This window comes from Homo sapiens, chromosome 1 (genome assembly GCF_000001405.40).
Source record: "Homo sapiens chromosome 1, GRCh38.p14 Primary Assembly".
In the NCBI taxonomy this organism is placed as follows: domain Eukaryota; kingdom Metazoa; phylum Chordata; class Mammalia; order Primates; family Hominidae; genus Homo; species Homo sapiens.
Genome location: NC_000001.11, coordinates 208981365 through 209008550, shown reverse-complemented (window position 1 = coordinate 209008550; position 27186 = coordinate 208981365). Strand labels below are relative to the sequence as shown.

Sequence of the window (27186 nt, the reverse complement as noted above, 5' to 3'; positions counted from 1 at the left end):
AATGTCGTTCCTGGTGAAAAGAGCAGCCTGTGTAAAATGGTGGAGAAAAGATGGTAAGAAATAGAAAATGGCCAGGTGGGTGAAGTGCAGACAGAAAGAGAAGGAGGGATAGAGACAGTTTGGAAAAGATGAGATGCTATAGCTGTAGGCAGCAGCGAGGTCAAAATATTTCAATCCTTTTTCATTCCCTGAGAACAATGGGAACCACTGGAAGAGTTTAAGCAAAAATGATGTATCCGATTTTCTCATTTAGACATCATTTTGCCTCTTTTAATCCAGTGTTCATCACACCTATAGTCACCCATTGAAATGCACAACGGCGGTATCTCCAAATGTCTAAAGTTCTTTTTCAAGTTCCTTTGTGTATGCATTCATTCTTTCATAAGCTATTACTATGAATAGTTATTATTGGCTATTGAGCGCCTGTACTGTGTATGAACACTTTTCTAGACTCACAGCACATGAATACAATTAATAAGCACATGGTCCAGCAGGGAACACAGGATAAAAAGGTAAATTACGATAGTGTGATCAGTGCTGGGAGAGAGGGAAGTTCAAAACAGAACTGAAAGGAGCCATTTAAATCTTGCCTTGGAAGAGGGCAAGCCTAGGGTGAAGTAATATTTGGGTTAGTCTTTCTTTTTTTCTGAGATGGAGTCTTTCACTCTGTTGCCCAGGCTGGGGTGCAGTGGCTCAATCTCAGCTCACTGCAACCTCCGTCTCTTGGGTTCAACCGATTCCCCCACCTCAGCCTCCCAAGTAGCTGGAATTACAGGCACCCACCATCATGCCTGGCTAATTTTTCTATTTTTGTAGAGACAGAGTTTCACCATGTTGGCCAGGCTGGTCTTGAACTCCTGACCTCAGGTGATCCACCCACCTTGGCCTCCCAAAGTGCTGGGATTACAGCTGTGAGCCACTGCACCTGGCCAGGTTAGTCTTAAAATAACTCATGTGAGTTTACCAGGGGGAAAAAGTAGAATATATTTATTGTGGAAAAACTCTGAAAATGCAGAAGGAAGTATAAAAGGAATATCAAATCACACACAATCCTTCAACTTAGACCCTATGAAGATTATGAAAATATTGATAAGATATTTTAAAAGAGTATCCTTTAAATATAGAAAATCCTCAACTTACAAATATATTGTGTTTCAATGCTTCAATAGCTTTTAAGGAAAAAGTTTAGAATTCAGAGTGTGCTCTTCCACAAGAACAACATTATAACTGGAGTTAAGATTCTCAGGCCAACCTGTAATAGTTTATTTAAATATATATATAACATTTAAACATATGCACATATAAAAGGCCGTAAGAGTCACAGATTATCATATTAGTTTCTATTGCTATGTAACAGATTACTCCAAACCTTAGTGTCTTAAAACAAGCACTTCTTATTTCACGGGTTGTGTGAGTCAGGAATCTGGGCCACAGCCTAGTTCAGGATCTCTTGAAAGTTCATACTACCCTAAATCAGCTTCAGTTCCATTCTTAACATCTTCCTAGAGTTCTTGAGGCTCCAGAATTACTTTGCTTTTCCTGTTCTGTGCTACCTCACTCCCATTTTTAACCTAGCCTCCAAATAGTATTCCCATTTCTTGAGTGCAAAGGAATCACTGGTACAGGATGGGGCAGAGGATCCATCTGAACAAAGTTACATGAAGAGAGGGATCCCTGGTTGAGTGGCACTATATAGGTCTGATAAATAGATGTATAATTTATGGAATTGCAGTCAGTCAAACTAATGGAAATAAGAGTTTTCAAATTATTGAGATAAATGTTTAGTGGATTTAGTACCACATGTGAGGTTTGTCATAGGATCATTTTTCATAAGTTGATATTATTGGCACTTTACTTCTGAACCTGGAAATTAAGATATCAGGTCTTCACCCCACTCCCACGCCTCAAATTTTCAGGTGAGCAATATCAGGAACTTCAGCTATTGTATCAAGAACAAACAACGATGGCTTCCTAGTCCCTATTTCTCCCCCCTTGAAATGTCAGATATGAGGAAAAAATACTCTAGCACTTTCTTCTACTAACCACAGAAAACCACAGATCAAGGAACATAAAAAAGTCATTTTGAAACTTTTACTGGGCAGTTTCCAGGAGACAAAGATTTGGATGGCTTGAAAAAGCTACACTCATAGGGTTTTTTCTTTGTTCCTCAAGAGTTGGGGGTGAACTTTAGAAGCAGAAAATAAATAACTTATACATAAATGGGGGTAGTTGGGTGGCAGCTGTGGGTCAAGATTGTTCAAGGGGCAGGTGGCACTATTTTGGTTGACACAACTTAAAACATAATTCTCTGTTGAGGCAAGGATCTCTGTAAATTATGTTGTATTTAGGGGAATAATATCCAGATAAACAGAAGAAACATTTCCTATGAACAGTTGATGTTCGTAGAGTTCATCTAGATTGAGGAATTGTATTGTTAAGAATGACCTTCACCAAGAGATAATGAAACGAATCCTTGTATCAGATTAATTCCTGTGGGGTTGACCTTAGAAGAATGGTGGGGATTTGCACTGTGAATATTTGAAGGAGGAGGCATTTTTGAAAGGAGGGCAGATTCGAGGATAAGGGAAGCAAGGCTGCGAATGGGGATGGAACCTGCCTAGACCTTCTATCATATGCTTTTGTGTTTTCACTTGGACTATGGAAACAGATATTTTCTACTTCTCACTCAATTATCTTGCAATTCACTTTACTTACCTCTTAAGTCATTTCTGTAGTCGGATCCAATATCATAGCCTTATATACATTATGGAGAGGAAAAGGAAAACACCCAGAAGTGTGACCTATCCCACATCTACCTCTCTGGTGGGAGCTGTGTGGGACAGGAACATTATTTTGAGAGAGACCTGAGCATGGAAGTTATAGACAGTGCTCAGTAAAGCACTTCCCAGTGGAATCAAGTGAGTAGAAAGGAAAGGGTGATATGGAAAAGCACCTTCAGATGGACCAACCAGGAGCAGCTCTATTTTTACCTGCTGTATCAGTAAGAGTTCTATCAAAAAAGCAGAACCAGTAGAACAATATATGTATAAATAGTTTTTCCACTAATATCTTTTCTGTATCCAAGGATGCAATCCTTGCATATATATAATTTAAATATATGTGCATAAAATAGACCCTATAATTTACAGGTTATTGTATTAGTGATTCTGCAATCCCGGAGAGCGCTTTGCATTAAGGTCTTCCTCGTCTCCTCCAAGTTGTGACAGTCCTTTTGGCTTTCCTTATCTTTCATAGTCTTGACACTTTTGAAGAGCACCTGTGTTATTTTGTAGAAAGGCTCTCAATTGGGGTTTGTTTGTTATTTTCTTCTGATAAATTGAAGTTATGCATTCTTGGGAAGGGTATCACAGAGATGATGCATCATTCTTATTTTTTTTTTTTTTTGTGAGACGGAGTCTCGCTCTGCCACTCAGGCTGGAGTACAGTGACGCAATCTTGGCTCACTGCAAGCTCCGCCTCCTGGGTTCACGTCATTATCCTGCCTCAGCCTCCCCAGCAGCTGGGACTACAGGCGCCCGCCATCAGGCCCAGCTAATTTTTTGTATTTTTAGTAGAGACCAGTTTTCATCGTGTTAGCCAGGATGGTCTCGATCTCCTGACCTCGTGATCCGCCTGCCTCAGCCTCCCAAAGTGCTGAGATTACAGGCATGAGCTACCGCGCCCGGCCGCATCATTCTTATTATGTCATTACCTCACGAGTACCTGATGTCGTTTCTCTTATTACTGCTGATGTTAATTAACCTTTATCACCTGGTTAAGGTGGTGTCTGCCAGAATTCTTCACTGTAAAGGTACTATTTTTCCCTTAATAATATACTAAATATTTATTGGATGATAATTTAACACTATGCAAATATCTTGTTGCCTCTTAAACTTTTTCCTGTTAATTCTAGCAATTATTACTTTTGTGTTCTACTGATGATTTTTTTTTTTTTTTTTTTTTTTTTTTGAGACGGAGTCTGGCTCTGTCGCCCAGGCTGGAGTGCAGTGGCGGGATCTTGGCTCACTGAAAGCTCCGCCTCCTGGGCTCATGCTATTCTCCTGCCTCAGCCTCCCGAGTAGCTGGGACTACAGGCGCCCGCCACCACGCCCGGCTAATTTTTTGTATTTTTTTAGTAGAGACAGGGTTTCACTGTGTTAGCCAGGTTGGTCTTGATCTCCTGACCTTGTGATACGCCTGCCTTGGCCTCTCAAAGCGCTGGGATTACAGGCGTGAGCCACCGCGCCCGGCCTCTACTGGTGATTTTATATACCCCCTTAGTTTTTTTATTTAAGGAATTACTTACTTTGTGATGCCACAGGAATGGTACAGGTTTATCATGAATTATCTCTGTCCCAAACCTGGAGTCAATCAGTTTTCCATGGAGCGCTGGTTCCTTTTATTAGAAAACGGTATTCAGAAACTAAGATCTAAGTTCTAGGTATGCTCCTTGCTGAGTATCACTTCTTCTAGTCTAGTAGATGGAGCTAGGAAATATATGTCTGAATACTAACTAATGCATATGTACTTCTATTTCTGTTTTTCTATTATCTTTCTCTCCTGTGTAATTTTTAAAATGCATGAGCTTACATTTGTATCTTGATTCCAGTTCAGGACCACAAGTTCATTCTAGCCTTCCACCTTTCCTTATTTGTAACTTATTTCTTTGATGTTGAGAAATCTAGCTCTCACTAGCTAAAATATATTTACTCATTTGTTAAAACCTAGTTTACTAATAAAGTATTTTCAGAGCTATTAACCCATACACCTCTAAAAAATAAATTTACCAATTAGACTATAATGTTTCTGCATAGTTCTTATGTCTTCAACCTTTAAGTATGTAGTCAAAACACTGTTTTCCAAAGTTACGTAGGTCACTTCCTTTCTTCTCCATCTCCTTCAGTGAGGTCATGTGTTATGTGATTCTTTTGTCATAAATTAAATTCTGTCACAGTCTGGTATCCACCAGCCCTCCCCATTGTCTTGATGGATTTTCTGAAAAACAAAGAAACAAACATGGTAAAATTTATTCTTTTTGGTGAACAGCTCTATGGGTTTTGACAAATGCATAGATCCATGTTTCTGTCACCACAATTGCATGTAGGATAGCTCCATCAGCCCTGAAATCCACTGGTGCTGCCTCTTTATAAGCAACTGTTCCTCCTACTATGGAACGCCTGGAAACCACTGTTCTATATTTCTTCCTTAGGGTTTTCCTATTCCCAGAGTATCATATAAATTGAATCATATAACATGTATCATTTTGAGTCTAGCTCCTTTCACTTAACAAAATGCATTTAAGATTCATCCACGTAGGCCGGGCTCATGCCTGTAATCCCAGCACTTTGGGAGGCCAAAGTGGGCAGATCACTTGAGGTAAGGAATTCGAGACCAGCTTGGCCAACATGGTGAAACCCTGTCTCTACTAAAAATACAAAAATTAGCTGGGTGTGGTGGCGTGCACCTGTAATCCCAGCTACTCAGGAGGCTGAGGCAGGAGAATTGCTTGAACTTGGGAGGCAGAGGTTGCAGTGAGCCAAGATCATGCCACTGCACTCCAGCCTGGGTGATAGAATGAGACTCTGTGTCAAAAAAAATTAAAATTAAACTTAAAAAAAAAGATCATCCGTGTTGTTTGTGAATCAATAGTCTCTTCCTATTCATTGCCGTATAGTATTATTCTCTTACACAAATCTACCACAGCTTGTCTATTGATTCTCTGGCTGAAGGACATCTGGAACGTTTCCAACTTTTGAAGAATATAAATAAAGCTCCTATAAATGTTCATACAAAGTACATGTTTTTATAGGAACATAAGTTTTTATTTCTTTTAGTTTGATAGCTAGAAGTGGGATTAATGGATCATAGCATAGGTATATGTTTACCTTTGTAAGAATTCTTGAAGTGTTTCTCAAAGAGACTAATATTTCGCATTTCCACCAGCTATGTATGAGTTCTAGTTGGTTTATACCTTTGTCGACGCTTGGTATTGCTATTTTTTTTAATTAACCATTCTAATAGGTATGTAGTGATACATCATGGTAGCTTTAATTTGCATTTTCCTATCATTTACGTTGTTGGGCATCCTTTTGTAGGCTTATTTTCCATACACGTTTTCTTTGGTTAAATGGTTTAGATCTTTTAACTGCTTTTCTTTTGTTTTGTTTTTATTGAGACAAGATCTTGCTCTGTCACCCAGGCTGGATGGAGTGCAGTGGTGCAGTCATACCTCACTGCAGCCTTGCCCCCCCAGGCTCAGTGATCCTCCCACCTCACCCTTCTGAGTAACTGGGATCACAGGTGTGTGCCACCATGCCTGGCTAATTTTCTGATTTTTTGTAGAGACAAGGTCTTCACTATGTTGCCCATTCTGCTGGAATTCCTGGGCTCAAGTGACACTCTCGCCTTGTCCTCCCAAAGTGCTGGGATTACACGAATGAGCCAAGGGGCCTGGCCACTTTTTTTTTTCTTTTTTGAAGCGATCAAAGATGACTTTATATAGATTTCTCACAATTTTATTCTAAATATACAGAACAAAAAATGGTGTCAGTTAAACTGTGAGACAAAACCAGATTTTCTTTATACTGTCTCAAAATTTAAAGATCAGTTTACCCAGAAGGTGTGCAATGCATCATAAAATGGTTTCATTTTTTTTTAGGGTGGGAGAAGAAGGATTGGGAAAGATGCATATTAAATTGTACCATGATAGATGTGCAAGACTGTTATTCAATCTAGAAAATTTATATACATTTTGATGACTTAGAAAAACAAACTGGGACTTCTCCAGTTGTACCATGTGGGCCTTTTGAAAGTAACAAATAAAAGGCCAGTTTCTGTTAAGTTTTCTGATGAACAAAACATTCCACCCTTAAATGCAGCATGGATTGAGTTGAAGGCTGCTACCTTAATACGCAAAGAAAAGTATGTAAGTGCAAATATGAGTTAAACTGCCTTCAGGGAAAAAAAAAAGTCTTTAAAATTGAAAAGGACATTTCCTTCCTGCGTTGGAGTCCTCCCAATTTAAAGCAGACTCCATCTATTCTAATTTCTGCAGCTAAAAACTTACTCTGCTTATTTGGTTTTCTCCTCTGAGTTTAGCTGCTGCTGGATTATTTTGGCATCATTTTGTGCCATGGAATTGATGATAGGTTGAAGTCACACACCATCACAACAGTGAACTTCTTCAACATCCAGGACAACCAGATTTCTCCCACCTGGACTTAAAAAGCAAGGATTAGATAGGAAGAGGAATGTAATACAATAGTCAGAGAGCTCTTGAAATCCTGTGAACTCCTTTTAGTGGATAAAAACTCTTCCTTCTAAAAATCCCTTAAAAGAGCAAAATCTCTCCCACTAACATGTCTGGGATAAACAAGGAGCTTTAAGTCAGGAGCTACTTCTAGCAGAAGTGTTAGTCTTCAGAGTGAGGCCAGTTCAGCAGGTAATGCAGACTGGTAAGGTACAAAGAATAAAATCTAACCACTTTTTAATTGGGTGGATTTCCCATTGCTGGATTTTGAGAGTTTTTATATATCCTGGACAGAAGTGCTTTGCCAGAAATGTGATTTGCAAGTATTTTCTCTAGTCTGTGGCTGTGTCTTTTGAAGAGCAAACATTTTTCATTTTAATTAAGTACAATTTATTGAGCTTTTGCACTTATGGATCATGCTTTTGGTGATGTAAGTAAAACTCTTTAATCTAAGTTGGCATAGATTTTCTGTTTTTTTTTTCTAAAAGTGTTATAGCTTTATTTTTTATATCTATAATCTATTTAGGGCTAATCTTTGTAGAAACTGTGAGATATAGGCTGAGATTATTATCTTTTTTTGCATACAGACTTCCAATTGTTGCAGCGCTATTTATTGAAGACACTGTACTTTCTCCACTGAATTGCATTTGCACCTTTATAAAAAATCAGTTGACTATATTTTATTGGTGTGGATCTATTTCCTATTTTTTGCTATCTGATCCATTAATTTATACATTTATCCTTTCACCAATATCACACTGTCTTGATTACTGTAACTTTAAGTCTTGAAATAAAGAAAGGAAGTCCCCAGGATGTTATTCTCTTTCAAAACTGTTCTGGCTATTCTAGTTTATTAGTCTTTTCACATATATTTTAGAATCACCTCATCAATATTTACAAAAGAGGCTTCTGGGATTTTGTTTCATCTCTAGACTGAATCGGAAAGAATTGATATCTTAGCAATATTGAGTCTTGCAATCTATTAACGTGATATGTCTCTAAGTTTATTTAGGACTTTAATTTTTTTCATCAGTATTTTGCAGTTGTTAGCATACAGATCCTACATGTAATTTTGAAAATTTATATACCTCAGTATTTTTGGCATTATAGTAAGTGGTTTTTTTTTTAATTAACTTTGAATTCCAATTGTTAACTTTGTATTCTGTGACCTTGCTAAGCTCTTTTATTAGTTCTAGAAGGGTTGTTGTAGACTTCTTTTGGGATTTTCTACATAGATACTTTTGTTGTTCATAAATAAATATTTTTTCTCTTCTTTTTTCTTAATTTTCTTATTTTATTGCACTGGCTAGGACTTCCATAATGATGTTGAGAGAGACAGAGGACATCCTTACCTTATTCTTGACTATAGGACGAAACAATTCAGTCTTTCATCATTTAATGTTCATTGTGCACTTTCTCAGATTAAGGAAGCTCTCTTTTATTTCTAGTTTGCTAAGAGTTTTTACCATAAATGGAAGTTTAATTTTGTCAAATAATTTGTCTGCATTTATTGATGATCATATGTTTTTTCTTCTTTCAAATTCATTGATTTCTGGTTTTATTTATATTTAATTTTTTCTGCTTGCTTTGGATGTAGTTTGCTCTTCTACTTCTAGTTTTGTAAGGTAAAAACTTATATTGTGGGTTTGAGATCTTCTTATTTCTATTATAACCATTTTATACTATACACTTCCATGTAATCACTGTTTTAGTCATCTCACATTTGTTGAAGTTCTGCAGGTTCATTTTCATTCACTTCACAATACTTTAAATTTTTTTTGAAACTTCCTCTTTGACCTATGTATTATTTAGAATTGTGCTGTTTAATTTCCAACTATTTGGAGATTTTCTAATTGGTGTTGTGTTATTTTTCTCTAGGCTAATTCTGTTATGGTCTGAGAACATACTTTGTATGATTTCTGCCCTTTTTAATTTGCTGAGGTTTATTTTGAGCCTGAATGAAGTCTGTCCTGGTGAGTGTTCTAATGCACTAATAAAAGAAAGTATATTTTGCTGTTGTTCTATGGTGTGCTCCAGAAATGTCAATTAGGTATAATTGGTTAATAATGTTGTTAAGGACTTCCATATTCTTGCTGATTTTCTCTTTACATGTTCTATCAGTTACTGAGAGAAAAGTAATAAAGTCTCCAACTACAATTCTGGCTCTGCCTTTATTTCCTTTCAGTTCTAGTTGGTTTTGTCTAATGCATTTTGAAACTCTGATGTTGTGTGCGTAAACGTTTAGCATTGTTATGTCTTCTTGTAAAATTGATTATTTTATCATTATGTCATGTCTCTCTTTATCCTTGATAATGTTCCTTTTTCTGAGGTCTATTTTGTTTCTTATCAAAATAGCTATTTCAGCCTTTTTGGGTTAGTGTTTACATGGTATATTTTTTCCTTTCTTTTAACTTTTACTTTATAAATGTCTTTTATTTAAAATTGATTTATTGAGGAAAGCATATTGTTGGGGCTTGCTTTTCGATCCTATCTGACAATCTCCCTTTTTTAACTGGTGCATTCAGGCATTCATATTTAATGTGATTGTTGATATGGTTGGATTAACATCTACCATCATGTTAGCTGTTTTGTGTTTCTTCCATATGTTCCTTATTTCTTTTTAACTCTTTTTCTCTCTTCTCTTGGGTTAATTGAGCATTTTTATGATTCCACTTTATTTCCTAATTGACATTATTTATACTACTTAAAAAATGTTTTTAGTGTTTGCCCTAGGGTTTACAATATACAACTGTAATTAGATAAGCTCTTGTTTGTAGACAGTATCCCAGGCCTAAACCAAACAAGCAAAAAGGATGCAAAATCACTGAGCTTCATTATAGATTTATATAATTAATATTTACTTAATGTCTATCGTAGTCCAGATATTATTTTAAACACTTACATGTATTAATTGATTTATTGCTCTTAGCAACACTAAAATTGTTAACCCCATTTTATGGATAAAGAAATTGAAATTGAAGCATGGAAGTTATTTACCAAGATAAAGTCATGTTCCCATGATCACAAGAAGACTGGTCAGACTCCAGAGCTAATAGTTAAAAGCATTGTGTTATGCAGCTATGCGCTAGCCTAGAAAACTGCCATTTAGAATTTTAATACCCAGACATTCAACTTACAAAACATCATTTGAGGGCATTTTTCCCAAATATGCTACAGGAAGTTGACCTCTAGAGGGAGTAGGGGATGGGGGAAGACATTGATGCTTAGCTTACATTTCTACATACTGAATTTTGTAAATCAAATATTTTTAAGTCAGTGGTATCATAAAATGATACCTTCTAATCACCTAATTTTAACACTGAGAGCATACCTGGATATCATCCAATGTTCTCATTTTGCTGATAAGGGGAATGATGCCCCCAAGAAATTACATTTCTTGCCTAATAATTAGTAACAGAGCCAGAACTTGAACCTATTATGGAGCTCTCTCCCCAAAGCTCTGCTATCCCCGTCCTGTGTAGTCTTACACTGTTTTATGCATACTTCTTATCACTGAACATATCATCACACTGGGGGCTATTTGTTCTTTTACATATTTCCATCTCCTATTAATATTTTTTATTTTATTTATTTATTCTGGTACCTTATTTATTTATTTAAGGGAAAGCAAGTTTATTCAGAAAGTAAAGGAATAAAAGAATGGCTACTCCATAGACGGAGCAGCCCCAAGGGCTGGTTGCCTATTTTTATGGTTATTTCTTTTTTTATTATTATTATACTTTAAGTTCTAGGGTACATGTGCACAATGTGCAAGTTTGTTACATATGTATACATGTGCCATGTAGGTGTGCTGCACCCATTAGCTTGTCATTTACATTAGGTATATCTCCTAATGCTATCCCTCCCCCCTCCTCCCACCCCACAACAGGTCCCAGTGTGTGATGTTCCCCACCCTGTGTCCAAGTGTTCTCATTGTTCAATTCCCACCTATGAGTGAGTGAGAACATGCAGTGTTTGGTTTTCTGTCCTTGTAATAGTTTGCTCAGAATGATGGTTTCCAGTTTCATCCATGTCCCAACAAAGGACATGAACTTATCCTTTTTAATGGCTGCATAGTATTCCATGGTGTATATGTGCCACATTTTCTTAATCCAGTCTATCATTGATGGACATTTGGGTCGGTTCCAAGTCTTTCCTATTGTGAATAGTGCTGCAATAAACATATGTGTGCATGTGTCGCATGATTTATAGTCATTTGGGTATATGTCCAGTAATGGGATGGCTGGGTCAAATGGTATTTCTAGTTCTAGATCCTTGAGGAATTGCCACACTGTCTTCCACAATGGTTAAACTAGTTTACAGTCCCACCAACAGTGTAAAAGTGTTCCTATTTCTCCACATCCTCTCCAGCACCTGTTTCCTGACTTTTTAATGATTGCCATTCTAACTGGTGTGAGATGGTATCTCATTGTAGTTTTGATTTGCATTTCTCTGATGGCCAGTGATGATGAGCATTTTTTCATGTGTCTGTTGGCAGCATAAATGTCTTCTTTTGAGAAGTGTCTGTTCATCTCCTTTGCCCAGTTTTTGATGGGGTTGTTTGACTTTTTCCTGTAAATTCGTTTAAGTTCTTTGTAGATTCTGGATATTAGCCCTTTGTCAGATGGGTAGATTGTAAAAATTTTCTCCCATTCTGTAGGTTGCCTGCTCACTTTAATGGTAGTTTCCTTTGCTGTTAAGAAGCTCTTTAGTTTAATTAGATCCCATTTGTCAATTTTGGTTTTTGTTGCCATTGCTTTTGGTGTTTTAGACATGAAGTCCTTGCCCATGCCTATGTCCTGAATGGTATTGCCTAGGTTTTCTTCTAGGGTTTTTATGGTTTTAGGTCTAACATTTAAGTCTTTAATCCATCTTGAATTAATTTTTGTATAAGGTGTAAGGAAGGGATCCAGTTTCAGCTTTCTACGTATGGCTAGCCAGTTTTCCCAACACCATTTATTAAACAGGGAATCCTTTCCCCATTTCTTGTTTTTGTCAGGTTTGTCAAAGATCAGATGGTTGTAGATGTATGGTATTATTTCTGAGAGCTCTGTTCTGTTCCATTGGTTTATATCTCTGTTTTGGTACCAGTACCATGCTGTTTTGGTTACTGTAGCCTTGTAGTGTAGTTTGAAGTCAGGTAGCATGATGCCTCCAGCTTTGTTCTTTTGGCTTAGGATTGTCTTGGCAATGCGGGCTCTCTTTTGGTTCCATATGAACTTTAAAGTAGTTTTTTCCAATTCTGTGAAGAAAGTCATTGGTAGCTTGATGGGGATGGCATTGAATCTATAAATTACCTTGGGCAGTATGGCCATTTTCATGATATTGATTATTCCTATCCATGAGCATGGAATGCTCTTCCATTTGTTTGTGCCATCTTTTATTTCGTTGAGCAGTGGTTTGTAGTTCTCCTTGAAGAGGTCCTTCACATCCCTTGTAAGTTGGATTCCTAGGTATTTTATTCTCTTTGAAGCAATTGTGAATGGGAGTTCACTCACGATCTGGCTCTCTGTTTTTCTGTTATTGGTGTTTAGGAATGCTTGCGATTTTTGCACATTGATTTTGTATCCTGAGATTTTGCTGAAGTTGCTTATCAGCTTAAGGGGATTTTGGGCTGAGACAGTGGGGTTTTCTAAATATACAATCATGTAATCTGCAAACAGGGACAATTTGACTTCCTCTTTTCCTAATTGAATACCCTTTATTTCTTTCTCCTGCCTGATTGCCCTGGCCAGAACTTCCAACACTATGTTGAATAGGAGTGGTGAGAGAGGGCATCCCTGTCTTGTGCCAGTTTTCAAAGGGAATGCTTCCAGTTTTTGCCCATTCAGTATGATATTGGCTGTGGGTTTGTCATAAATAGGTCTTATTATTTTGAGATACGTCCCATCAATACCTAATTGATTGAGAGTTTTTAGCATGAAGGGCTGTTGAATTTTGTTGAAGGCCTTTTCTGCATCTATTGAGATAATCATGTGGTTTTTGTCTTTGGTTCTGTTTATATGCTGGATTACGTTTATTGATTTGCATATGTTGAACCACCCTTGCATCCCAGGGATGAAGCCAACTTGATCGTGGTGGATAAGCTTTTTGATGTGCTGCTGGATCCGGTTTGCCAGTATTTTATTGAGGATTTTTGCATCAATGTTCATTAGGAATATTGGTCTAAAATTCTCTTTTTTTGTTGTGTCTCTGCCAGGCTTTGATATCTGGGTGATGCTGGCCTCATAAAACAAGTTAGGGAGGATTCCCTCTTTTTCTATTGATTGGAATAGTTTCAGAAGGAATGGTACCAGCTCCTCTTTGTACCTCTGGTAGAATTTGGCTGTGAATCTGTCTGGTCCTGGACTCTTTTTGGTTGGTAGACTATTAAGTATTGCTTCAATTTCAGAGCCTGATATTGGTCTATTCAGGGATTCAACTTCTTCCTGGTTTAGTCTTGGAAGGGTGTATGTATCCAGGAAATTATCCATTTATTCTCGATTTTCTAGTTTATTTGCATAGAGGTGTTTATAGTATTCTCTGATGGTAGTTTGTATTTCTGTGGTATCAGTGGTGATATCCCCTTTATCATTTTTTATTGCATCTATTTAATTCTTCTCTCTTTTCTTCTTTATTAGTCTTGCTAGTGGTCTGTCAATTTTGTTGATCTTTTCAAAAAACCAGCTCCTGGATTCATTGATTTTTTGAAGGGTTTTTTATGTCTCTATTTCCTTCAGTTCTGCTCTGATCTTAGTTATTTCTTGACTTCTGCTGGCTTTTGAATGTATTTGCTCTTGCTTCTTTAGTTCTTTTAATTGTGATGTTAGGGTGTCAATTTTAGATCTTTCCTGCTTTCTCTTGTGGGCATTTAGTGCTATAAATTTCCCTCTACACTTTAAATGTGTCCCAGAGATTCTGGTATGTGTGTCTTTGTTCTCATTGGTTTCAAAGAACATCTTTATTTATTCCTTCATTTTGTTATGTACCCAGTAGTCATGCAGGAGCAGGTTGTTCAGTTTCCATGTAGTTGAGCAGTTTTGAGTGAGTTTCTTAATCCTGAGTTCTAGTTTGTTTGCACTGTGGTCTGAGAGACAGTTTGTTATAGTTTCTGTTCTTTTACATTTGCTGTGGAGCGCTTTACTTCCAACTATGTGGTCAATTTTGGAATAAGTGTGATGTGGTGCTGAGAAGAATGTAAATTCTGTTGGTTTGGGGTGGAGAGTTCTGTAGATGTCTATTAGGTCTGCTTGGTGCAGAGCTGAGTTCAATTCCTGGATATCCTTGTTAACCTTCTGTCTCATTGATCTGTCTAATGTTGACAATGGGGTTTTAAACTCTCCCATTATTATTGTTTGGGAGTCTAAGTCTCTTTGTAGGTCTCTAAGGACTTGCTTTATGAATCTGGGTGCTCTGTATTGGGTGCATATATATTTAGGATAGTTAGCTCTTCTTGTTGAATTGATCCCTTTACTATTAGGTAATGGCCTTCTTTGTCTCTTTTGATCTTTGTTGGTTTAAAGCCTGTTTTATCAGAGACTAGGATTGCAACCCCTGCTTTTTTTGTTGTTTTCCATTTGCTTGGTAGATCTTCCTCTCTCCCTTTATTTTGAGCCTACGTGTGTCTCTGCACGTGAGATGGGTCTCCTGAATACAGCACACTGATGGGTCTTGACTCTTTATCCACTTTGCCAGTCTGTGTCTTTTAATTGGAGCATTTAGCCCATTTACATTTAAGGTTAGTATTGTTATGTGTCAATTTGATCCTGTCATTATGATGTTAGCTGGTTATGTTGCTCGTTAGTTGATGTAGTTTCTTCCTAGCATTGATGGTCTTTACAATTTGGCATGTTTTTGCAGTGGCTGTTATCAGTTGTTCTTTTCCATGTTTAGTGCTTCCTTCAGGAGCTCTTGTAAGGCAGGCCTGGTGGTGACAAAATCTCTCAGTGTTTCTTTGTCTGTAAAGGATTTTATTTCTTCTCCACTTATGAAGCTTAGTTTGGCTGGATATGAAATTCTGGGGTGAAAATTCTTTTCTTTAAGAATGTTAAATATTGGCCCCCACTCTCTTCTGGCTTGTAGAGTTTCTGCCAAGAGATCTGCTATCAGTCTGATGGGCTTCCCTTTGTGGGTAACCTGACCTTTCTGTCTGGCTGCCCTTAATATTTTTTCCTTCATTTCAACTTTGGTGAATCTGACAATTACGTGTCTTGGAGTTGCTCTTCTCGAGGAGTATCTTTGTGGCGTTCTCTGTATTTCCTGAATTTGAATGTTGGCCTGCCTTGCTAGGATGGGGAAGTTCTCCTGGATGATATCCTGAAGAGTGTTTTCCAACTTGGTTCCATTCTGCCCGTCACTTTCAGGTACACCAATCAGATGTAGATTTGGTCTTTTCACATAGTCCCATATTTCTTGGAAGCTTTGTTCATTTCTTTTTATTCTTTTTTCTCTAAACTTCTCTTCTCGCTTCATTTCATTCATTTGATCTTCAATCACTGATACCCTTTCTTCCACTTCATCTAATTGGCTACTGAAGCTTGTGCATGCATCACATAGTTCTCGTGCCATAGTTTTCAGCTCCATCAGGTCATTTAAGGTCTTCTCTACACTGTTTATTCTAATTAGCCATTAATCTAATTTTCTTCAAGGTTTTTAGCTTCTTTGCGATGGGTTCGAACATCCTCCTTTAGCTTGGAGAAGTTTGTTATACCGATCATCTGAAGCCTTCTTCTCTCAACTCGTCAAAGTCATTCTCCATCCAGCTTTGTTCCATTGCTGGTGAGGAGCTGCTTTCCTTTGGAGGAGAAGAGGCACTCTGATTTTTATAATTTTCAGCTTTTCTGCTCTGGTTTCTCCCCATCTTTGTGGTTTCATCTACCTTTGGTCTTTGATGATGGTGATGTACAGATGGGGTTTTGGTGTGGAGTCCTTTCTGTTTGTTAGTTTTCCTTCTAACAGTCAGGACCCTCAGCTGCAGGTCTGTTGGAGTTTGCTGGAGGTCCACTCCAGACCCTGTTTGCCTGGGTATCACCAGTGGAGGCTGCAGAACAGCAAATATTGCAGAACGGCAAATGTTGCTGCCTGATCCTTACTCTGGAAGCTTCATCTCAGAGGGGCACCCAGCTGTATGAGGTGTCAGTCGACCCCTAATGGGAGATGTCTCCCAGTTAGGCTACTCGGGGGTCAGGTACCCACTTGAGGAGGCAGTCTGTCCGTTCTCAGATCTCAAACTCTGTGCTGGGAGAACCACTACTCTCTTCAAAGATGTCAGACAGGGACTTTAAGTCTGCAGAAGTTTCTGCTGCCTTTTATTCAGCTATGCCCTGCCCCCAGAGGTGGAGTCTACAGAGGCAGGCAGGCCTCCTTGAGCTGCAGTGGGCTCCACCCAGTTCAAGGTTCCCAGCTGCTTTGTTTACCTACTCAAGTCTCAGCAATGGTGGACGCCCTTCCCCCAGCCTCGATGCCACCTTGCAGTTCGATCTCAGACTGCTGTGCTAGCCATGAGTGAGGCTCTGTGGGTGTGGGACCCTCTGAGCCAGGCGCAGGATATAATCTCCTGGTGTGCTGTTTGCTAAGACCATTGGAAAAGCGCAGTATTAGGGTGGGAGTGTCCCGATTTTCCAGGTACCATCTGTCACAGCTTGCCTTGGCTAGGAAAGGGAATTCCCCGATCCCTTGCGCTTCCCAGGTGAGGCGATGCCCCACCCTGCTTCGGCTCACACTCCGTGGGCTGCACCCACTGTCCAACAAGCCCCAGTGAGATGAACCCGGTACCTCAGTTGGAAATGCAGAAGTCACCTGTCTTCTGCATCGCTCACGCTGGGAGCTGTAGAATGGAGCTCTTCCTATCTGGCCATCTAGGAACGTCCCTCCTAATGTTTTTTTAAGAGACAGGATCTTGCCATATTGCCCAGGCTGCATTCAACCCCTGGGCTCAAGTGATCCTCCAGCTTCAGCCTCTCAAGTCACTATAACATTCATGAGTGGTAGCTTCCATTCTTATTTGACTTGGTATCCTTAGCAACTGTCATAGAGCATGACACATTATAACCATGTTTTTAAAAAAGTTTGTTGAGTGAAAAGTCCCCAATTTTTGTTCCAGTCCAGAACTCTGTTCTTCAGATCATTTAATGCCCATGAAATACAAGCGACCATCAGTAGTCTCCCAGCCTCTAGAAGCACGATACACAATCTCAGGGTTAGAATTTAAACTTCTCTTCCATGGAAATCAGAGCTATTTCAGGAATAATAGAAGCATATCAGGACTTAATTGCATTCACTTCTGAATTGCCTATAGCTCTTTCTTCTATAGGATGCAAATCAGGGTGACTCTTATATCTTGATTATATTCAAAGACTCCCAGAGGACCATCATGGTATGCCAGGCTCTTTCTTGTGTTGCTCCTGTCTACCCCTTCATCCAAATCTCCAGCCTTATGACAATAAACTCCTTGTGGTTACCAGAATTATCTCTACTGGTTTTTGATCTTTGTCTTCATGCATTCAGCCTCTTCTACCAGAAATACTTTGACAACTTTTGCCTGGTTAATTTTTTCTCCTTCTACGACTCAGTGGTTGGTTTTTATGTGAACTTGCCAGAAATGATGGTGTATTACTTACAATTGTGGTTACTGGCACTGAAATTGTGCTTAACCTAACAAAATATTTGTTGGATATTCAGAAAGTAGCACAACATGGTGGTTACAGATCCAGGCTATGGGGCTTAAATTCCAGCTTCACTACATACTATCTGTGGCTTTTGACAAGGTAATTTACTTCCCTAAGCCTCATTTTTCCTATCTGTAAAAAGGTGAAATTAACAGAAATGACCTCATAATGTTGTTAGTGTGAACGTAGATAAAGCATGGGAAGCATCTAGCAAGTGCCTGCCACACACACAATAACTGTAGCCATTACTATCCCATTGCTATTATATCATGATTGTCATCATGATTTATTCATTTATTTATTTTTTCTTTTTGTATTTTTCTTTCAGATTTGGGGGTACATGTGTAGGTTTGTTACATGGGTGTATTGGATGATCCTGAGGTTTCAGGTACAATTGAACCTATCACCCAGGTAGTGAGCATGGTACCCAATAGGTAGTTTTCCAACCCTTTCCCCTCTCCCTCTGTTTCCCCTCTTGTAGTCCCCAGTGTCTGTCGTTCTCATCTTTATGTCCATCTGTACCCAAAGTTTAGCTCCCTCATATAAATGAGAACATGTGGTATTTGGTTTGCTGTTTCTGTGTTAGTTTGCTTAAGATAATGACTTCCGGCCAGGTGCAATGGCTCATGCCTGTAATCCTAGCACTTTGGGAGACCGAGGCGGGCAGATCACAAGGTGGAGAGATTGAGACCATCCTGGCCAACATGGTGAAACCCTGTCTCTACTAAAAACACAAAAATTAGCTGGGCATGGTGGCGTGCACAGGTAATCCCAGCTACCCGGGAGGCTAAGGCAGGAGAATTGCTTGAACTTGGGAGGCGGAGGTTGCAGTAAGCTGACATTGTGCCACTGCACTCCAGCCGGGCAACAGATCGAGACTCCATCTCAAAAAAAAAAAAAAAAAAAAAGATAATGACTTCCAGCTGCATCCATGTTGCTGCAGAGGACATTATTTCATTCTTTTATGTGGCTGCATAGTATTCCATGGTGTATATGTACCGTATTTTCTTTATCCAATACACCTTTGACACCATGATATCATTATTAATCACAATATCAAATTAAAATCTGCTAGGAGAGTTACAATGACATTTCATTTCATAATTTTAAATGTATGGGCTTTTTTTCAAACAACGTAGCACAAGGGAATAATTAACTTGGTAAATTTAAAGTTCATTTTGCCATCTGGGCTGGGACCACTCAAAAAGAAAAACTTCTCTTTTTGAGCCAAAGACCAGAAAGAAAATAAGATGGGTTTTTACACCTTGGGCATGACAAAGGAACAGTTTAGCTGCAAATCTATGTTTGATAAAAGAAAAAAAAACTTTGTAGAGTAAGTGGAGAAGTGTTTGTAGCTCATGACCCAAGAGGACCCAATTACTGGGTGTCTGTGAAGGAGACAGAAGTGTCAGAGGGCTGATAGCAAACAAGCTCTCAAAGGCTGCTTCTAAAACCTGCTCACACAGGGCAGAATTCTAACAAGAAGCAGATGATATTCACCACCTGGGACCTGTCAGGGAGCTCCAGAGAGCCGGAGGGCCAGCTCTGGGAGGCTGATGGAGGTCAAGTACTTCTGGAGGGAAGGTGTGGTGAGAGGAAAACTTGGGAGACTGATTCTCCTTGTTTTTCTATTGCTTTGCTGCACCTCCCAGCGAGGCTTAGAAATTGCTCAAGACACACTGATTTCCTGCATGTTCTTACTCTGTGGTGGAAGGCTTCTGGGAGGGAGAGACAAACACTGTGAACAATGAGAAATAGAAAATGAAAGTAAAATAGCACCCGAGCTGACTTCATGCCAGATGAAGCAGAGATCCCTGAAGAGTATATGGGTGCATCAGAGGGTAGGAGAGAGGGGAGAGTGGGTGAAAAATGAGGTGAGGTCTCTTGGCTAAAATGAATTTTAAATTTATTGGTAAATTTCAATTACACAGGCTTTCCCTGAGGTGGGTTACTGGGATCAAAACTCTACTGTCATTCCTAATAGAGTGGAAATTCTTACAACAGTCCACTTCATTTTAGGAGTGCATTAGTCCCTAGGAATGTTTAACTAAAAGAGATAATTATAACAGCACCCAAGGAAAAACACACCCTCTTATCATCTTTTCAACCACAGAATAAACATTTTCCAGACACACTGAAGTGAATTTTCCTAACTCCAGGGCTTAGCACCAGCCATCAGGAGATGCTCACTAAATAATTATTGAATGAATGAATGGTATGGATGATCCTCTATGTGCCAGAGAGCTTTCAAGAATTGAAAAAAAGCAAAGATTAATAAAAGGAAACTTCTGATCAATGTGGTGGCCAAGCAGAAGTAATCAACCTTTCATTCTGCTCCAAATATATAGAAATGCTGACTTAGAGGCCGGGTGCGGTGGCTCACGCCTGTAATCCCAGCACTTTGGGAGGCCGAGGTAGGCGGATCACAAAGTCAGGAGATCGAGACCATCCTGGCTAACACAGTGAAACCCCGCCTCTACTAAAAATACAAAAAAATTAGCCAGGTGTGGTGGTGGGCGCCTGTAGTCCCAGATACTTGGGAGGCTGAGGCAGGAGAATGATGTGAACCCGGGAGGCGGAGCTTGCAGTGAGCTGAGATCTCGCCACTGCACTCCAGCCTGGGTGACAGAGTGAGACTCCATCTCAAAAAAAAAAAAAAAAAAAAAGAAATGCTGACTTAGATAGAACACAAACCTTTTCTTAAACTGTATAGCTGAAATTGAAAGCAGGAAGAAGGAAATATCACAAAGTCCCAGAAATGAACAAGAAACTCAAAGCCACAGTGGTAGAATGATGAATGTTTGTGGGCATATACGAATCACATGTGTACGTAAGGGTGGGGACATGTATCAGTCCTAAGCAGAATCAAACTATGACACAATATCATGGATGATAGCGAGAAATTGACTTTAATTACTCTATATTCCTCTAATTCAGTCGTATAAGAGAGATATTGATTAGTCATAGATTTAGTTAACTTTGTGCATTAGCATTATAAAGGCAAATACCAAAAAAGGGAGGAAGGAATGCAATGTTTAATTCCTAAACCAGTAGAAAGGGGAGAAAAAGGAAATAAAGGAAATGTGGGCCGGGTGCGGTGGCTCATGCCTGTAATCCCAGCACTTTGGGAGGCGGAGGCAGCAGATCACCTGAAGTCAGGAGTTCGAGATGAGCCTGACCAATATGGTGAAACCCCATCTCTACTAAAAATACAAAAATTAGCCAGGCATGGTGGCACCTGCCTATAATTCCAGCTACTCAGGAGGCTGAGGCAGGAGAATTGCTTGAAATCAGGAGGTGGAGGTTGCAGTGAGCTGAGATTGCGCCACTGCACTCCAGCCTAGGTGACAGGGCAAGACTCCGTCTCAAAAAAAAAAAAAAAAAAAAGAGTGCACATGCATGAAAGAGAGGATGTGGGAAGAGGTACGGGAATGAACTCATCCTTTAATCAGGAATCTACTCCCACAATAACAAACCGAATCCTGCAATAACAGCCTTAATCCATCTTGAGGGAAGAGTCCTCAGGACCTAGTCACCTCTTAAATGTCCTACCTCTCAACACTGGAATTGGGAATTAAGTTTCCAACACATGAACTTTGGGGAACACATTCAAATCACAGCAACAGCTAACAGTAGTGCTATTCTATCTGTAAAATCAAACATCAAATTCAAGGATAATAATGACAAGGCTGACAGCCATCAACACTGGAATTGGGAATTAAGTTTCCAACACATGAACTTTGGGGTACACATTCAAACCACAGCAACAGCTAACAGTAGTGCTATTCTATCTGTAAAATCAAACATCAAATTCAAGGATAATAATGACAAGGCTGAGAGCCATCATTCCAATAAAAATTACAATTCCCTGTCCAATATCCAGTTTTTATACCCAGAACTCATTGATATGAGAAGAGACGCTTTTAGAGGAACCCTGCAAAATCATGGTAAATGTATGTGGTAGTGGCTACTTCCTTTTCTCAAAGGGACCTACTGCCTTCTATTGGGTAACTGTATCCTAGGGAAAGTGGAATATCCAAACACTTTAAAGACTGTTGGAAAGAGAATCCAAGTTGATATTGAGGTCAAAGTGTCATCATGATTTTTCTGTCAGAGTGGGGACCTGGGATAGCCAAGTCCAGCCCACAGTCTGTTTACCGTATCTGTGAACTCATCCAGTGGTCATTTCTGCAGACCCCAATTAATAATTGTAATAGACATACTTGGTAGTTGGCACAACCTCCACGTTGAATCTTCAGCCTACAGGATTAGGGGAAAAGTTAAGAAGAAGCCTGTGAAAACAGCTTATCCCCCATACTTGTTTCAAGATAGTTACTTAAAAAAAATTGTCCAATATGAATGGTTGAAATTAGTGCCACCTTTACAGTTTGTTAAAGGATACAGGAATGATGGTCCCCTTCAGTCTCTGTTTAATTCACCAATCTGATTTCTGCAAAAACAAGACATATTATTACAGTGGACTACTGCAAACATAGCCAGGTATCGGACCCAGTGGCAGATGTGGTATGTTTGCTAGAGCAGATTAACATGTCATCAGATATATGGTATGCAGCCATATTTCCGTTGCTCTGGAAAATATATTTTTTTCATCATTAGGAAGAGGAAATGAAAAGAATTTCATTTAAAGTGGACAACTGAATCAATTACATGTTTGTTTCAAGGCTGTGTTAACTCCTCTGCCCTTTGTTTAAATACAGTATGAAGAGGTACAGACCATTTAGACATCCATACAGAATGTCAAATTTGTTCACTATATTGACAACATGCTAATGGAACCAGATGAGCAAAATATAGATGCTAGTTGGAGGATTTGCTAAGAAGCATATTCTCTAGAGAGTTGGAGTTAAACCCTATGAATATTCAGGGCCTGGCACATAAGTAAAATTACGGATGTACGGTGTTTATGGCATGATAAGAATCACCCATCCTCCCCAAATAAAGAACAAATTATCAAAATTTGTATTCTCAGCATGAAGAAGGAAGCAAAATGCCTGGAAGGTTTCTTTGGGTTACAAAGGCAGCATATTCCACATTATGGGAACCATATCTGGGAATACTAATGTGACCTAAACACCAGATGATATGAAAATCTGCCAGATTTTAATAGGGCCCAGCTATGGCTCCTGTCTAGCACTTTGGGCAACTCATGCCAAAGGGTCAGCAGGTAAGGAAATGAATCACTGTCTTGGCAGGAGTAAGTCAGGATGCTGTTACACAATGAGAACATTAGGAATATATTTAGCAGCCAGATAATACACTTAAGTATCTTTTAGTGATTCTATATCACGTTTTGACAATAATTGCACAAATACAGTAACTCTGGTCTGAAAAGGTAATGGTAATGAGGAAGGGAATTAGACTGCACATGGTTGAAGATCTAGTTCACATCACCAGGCAAGTCTCCAAGACCACCAGAGGTGCTAGCTGGGGGTAAGGGAAATTTATAATAAGTGGTAGAGAAGGGAGATAACAAAGATCATTTCTGGACTTGAGATAAGCAAAAGTGATGGGGACTGTAGTTTATCATCACATTTTTTTTTCTTTTCTAAGTTTTTCCACTGGATTGTTAGAAGAGTCACTGCCAGAACCTATATGAGTAAGTGAATCCAGGCACTTAAGGTGTAGTCTGTGTTGAGTACTATAATATGCCTCCAGATTCCTCTTTACTAATTAAGGACATACTCCCCCAGCTTCTAGAAGTGCTGATGAAAGGCAGTCCTTAGCTGTAAACTTCTCCTGAGAGATTGCCTTTACTAAAAACACTGTCTCACCCCAAATCACACTTCTTTCAGAGAAGTCCACATCTAGTGACTGATCGTCCAGAGGGTATAAAGTCCTGGAACCCTTGCCTTAACTGGGCAAACTCTAAAGGACCATCCCAGCTCCAGAGCTCTTCATGGGGTCATCTTAGGTCTCTGTTGAGACTGCATCACAGCTCAACTTCTCCCTCTGCCCAAACGTGTTTTTTTTTTTCCTTTTCTTCTACAGGTTTTGATCCCAGGAGTCCCACCTAATAAACATCTTATATGTTAATCACCATCTTCCTGGTTGCCTCTCAGAGAACTTAAGCTGTATCAAACATTATATACTGATACTATAACTGAAACTATAACTATCATGAATTTATATATATATATATATATAGTCTTACTCTTCTCATGCTGCTAATAAAGACATACCCTAGACTGGGTAATTTATAAAGGAAAGAGGTTTAATTGACTCACACAGTTCTACATGGCTGGGGAGGCCTCACAATCATGGCAGAAGGTGATGGAGGAGCAAAGTCATGTCTTACATGGCAGCAGTCAAGAGAACTTGTGCAAGGGAACTCCCATTTATAAAACCATCAGATCCGTCAGACTTATTCACTACCATGAGAACAGTATGGGGGAAACTCCCCCAATGGTTCAATTGTCTCTCCCTGGCCCCACCTTTGGCATGTGGAGATTTTTACAATTCAAGGTGAGATTTGGGTGGGGACACAGCCAAACCATATCATACATTTATAAATTTATGAAATAAGTGCTGATAGAATTACATGAAGACATTTGTAAATACATAATACTTGTGTAAAAATTTTAACACCTATTTTAGAAACTGATAGATCAAGAAGTCAATGTTAGTAAAGATGCTAAAGATTTGAATAAAATAGCTGTTTTCTCTATGGTAATATAATGTAACACACCGTAATACAACATAACTATATTCTTATGTAAGGAGTAAGGAGCACATATGGTTTTTAAATATGCATGTATCATTTATTAAAAAGTTGGTCACGTTTTAGTTTATAAAAGGTCTAAAAAATGTCCAAATAATTGATATCATACAGAACATTTCATCTTACCACAGTATAAGACACAGTAAAATATAATTAATACAGTTGGGCCTTCACAAACCTATATTAGAAAAATAATGATCTATAACAAAAATTAATTAGTAATCAAAAATTCTCCCTAAAAAGGTACCAAGCCCACATAATTTTATAGAGAAGTTTTTACCACAAATCAGAAGCTCATAATTCCTTTCTGATAAAATCTCTTTCAGCAAATGAATAAAGAGAGTAAACTACCTATTATTTGATATCAAAATTAGGCACAAGAAGTATAAGAAATGAGATATATTGTCCAATCTCACTATAGCATGGAAGAACAAATTATAACATGTTAGCAAACCCAGAATTGGATTTATAGTACATCAGGATAAAACAGATTATCCCAAGTATACAAAGATATGTCAACATTTAAAAGATCTATAAATCTTCATTCAACACATGGAAAAAAAAAGACAAAAACGTGAGCATCTCAACGAATGTAGAAAAATATTTTATAAGGTCAATATTCATTCATAAATTAAGGAAAAGACCAGTACATTAGTACTGGGGAAAAAAAACTTCCTTAACTTTGTAAAGAGCATGTACCCAAACCCACAGAAAATGCCATACTTTATGGTCAGATTTTTAGAAGCATTCACATTAAACTCAAGACAATAAATTATTCACTAAAACCACTTCTATGTAGCAATTACTGGAAGTTTTAACCAATTCAAAAATGCAATAAAAAGAAATAAGTGATATAATTATTTGAAAAAAAGAAGCACAATCGTTATTTGCAGATGGTATCATTGTTTGCATACAAAATGCAAAAAGAATTCATAGACTAACTATTTAGAATTTAAAAAGTTCAGGAAGATTGCCAGAAATAAGATCAACATACAAAAATAATTAGTGAGATTTTATTTAACAATAATTGGAAAATAGAAAATGTTATTTTTTTAAAGATCTCATTCACAATTGCATTCAAATTTACACAGTGCCTAGGGCAAAAATAATCTAACAAATAGTATTTAATACTTTTATGAAGAAAATTACACAACTATACAAAGTCAAAAAGGAGCTTGGTTATGGATATGCAAGTTCAACATCATGAATATATGCTATAAATTATTTCCCACATTGATCTATAAATTCAATGTAATTCCAGTAAAAATCCCAATGAAATTATTTTCCATGGATTTGATGGATTTATTTTATTTATTTATTTATTTAGAGACAGAGTCTCTCTCTCTATCACCCAGGCTAGAGTGCAGGGGCACGATCTCAGCTCACTGCAACCTCTGCCTCCTAGGCTCAAGTAATTCTCGTGCCTCAGCCACCCAAGTAGATGGGATTACAGGCAGGTGCCACCATGCTCAGCTAATTTTTCTATTTTTAAGTAGAGATGGGGTTTCACCACGTTGGCCAGGCTGGCCTCAAGCTCCTGGTCTCAAGTGATCCTCTTGCCTCAGCCTCCCAAAGTGCTGGGATTACAGGTGTGAGCCACCATGCCCAGCCATGATGGACTTATTTTAAAATTCCTGTTTATGAGTAAATGTTCAAGAATAGGCAGGACAGTAAAGAACAAGAACTAAGAGGAGTTATTCTCCTGAATTTCAAGAACTGATTTAAAGCTGTAGTAATTAAAACAGTGTGGTATTTTACAGGGTTAAAAATATGTTAATTAGATAGACTTAAGAGCTCAGGAATAGACCCTGGGGTATATGGGAACTTGATTTATGAGAGAAGTGGCTTCACAAATCAAAATTTATTTAAATAGTTATCTGTATGAGACCAGGTGTGGTGGCTCACGCCTGTAATCCCAGCACTTTGGGAAGCTGATGTGGGCAGATCACTTGAGGCCAGGAGTTCAAGATGAGCCTGGCTAACATGGTAAAACCTCATCTCTATTAAAAATATAAAAATTTTCTGGGTATGGTGGCTCTATCTTGTAGTCCTAGCTGCTTGGAAGGCTGAGACAGGAGAATAACTTGAACCTGGGAGGCAGAGGTTGCAGTGAGCCAAGACTGCACCACTACATTTCAGCCTGAGTGACTGAGCGAGACTCTATCTCAAAAAAACAAAAACAAAAACAAAAACAAAACAAACAAACAAAAAAACCCCCAAAAATCCAAAAAATTTATCTGTATGAAAAGAAAATTAGAGAATTACCTCTATATAAAAACAAAGGTAGATAAAGGCTTAAATTAAAAAAAAAGTTGTAAAAGTTAAAACAGGAGCACAACTTTATGATCCTGTGAAGAAAAATATGTTTACATAGAAAAAAGAACAAATTATAAAGAAAATTGATAAATTTACACTAAAATTTCAAATACATGCATGACAAAAGTTTACAAACCTAAAAGACAAGAAGATTTTTTGTAACATACTTAATAGACAAAGAATCAGTCTGGAATACATAAAGAACACTTTTCCTCCTTGAGGATGATAATAATAGC

The 27186-nt window shown here is 38.4% G+C and overlaps 1 long non-coding RNA gene across 2 annotated transcripts in view, besides 1 other annotated feature; it reads left to right on the top strand.

The window, feature by feature from the left end:
* Window positions 1-27186, top strand: part of LOC107985255 (uncharacterized) — a 313794-nt gene that overhangs the window by 124698 nt on the left and 161910 nt on the right. The window lies entirely within an intron of this gene.
* Window positions 19494-19793: an enhancer, noted in NCBI's record as "active region_2464". NCBI's record gives its function as "activates an Ori minimal core promoter by ATAC-STARR-seq in GM12878 lymphoblastoid cells {active_cell/tissue: GM12878}" and the evidence as "EXISTENCE:reporter gene assay evidence [ECO:0000049][PMID:35858748]".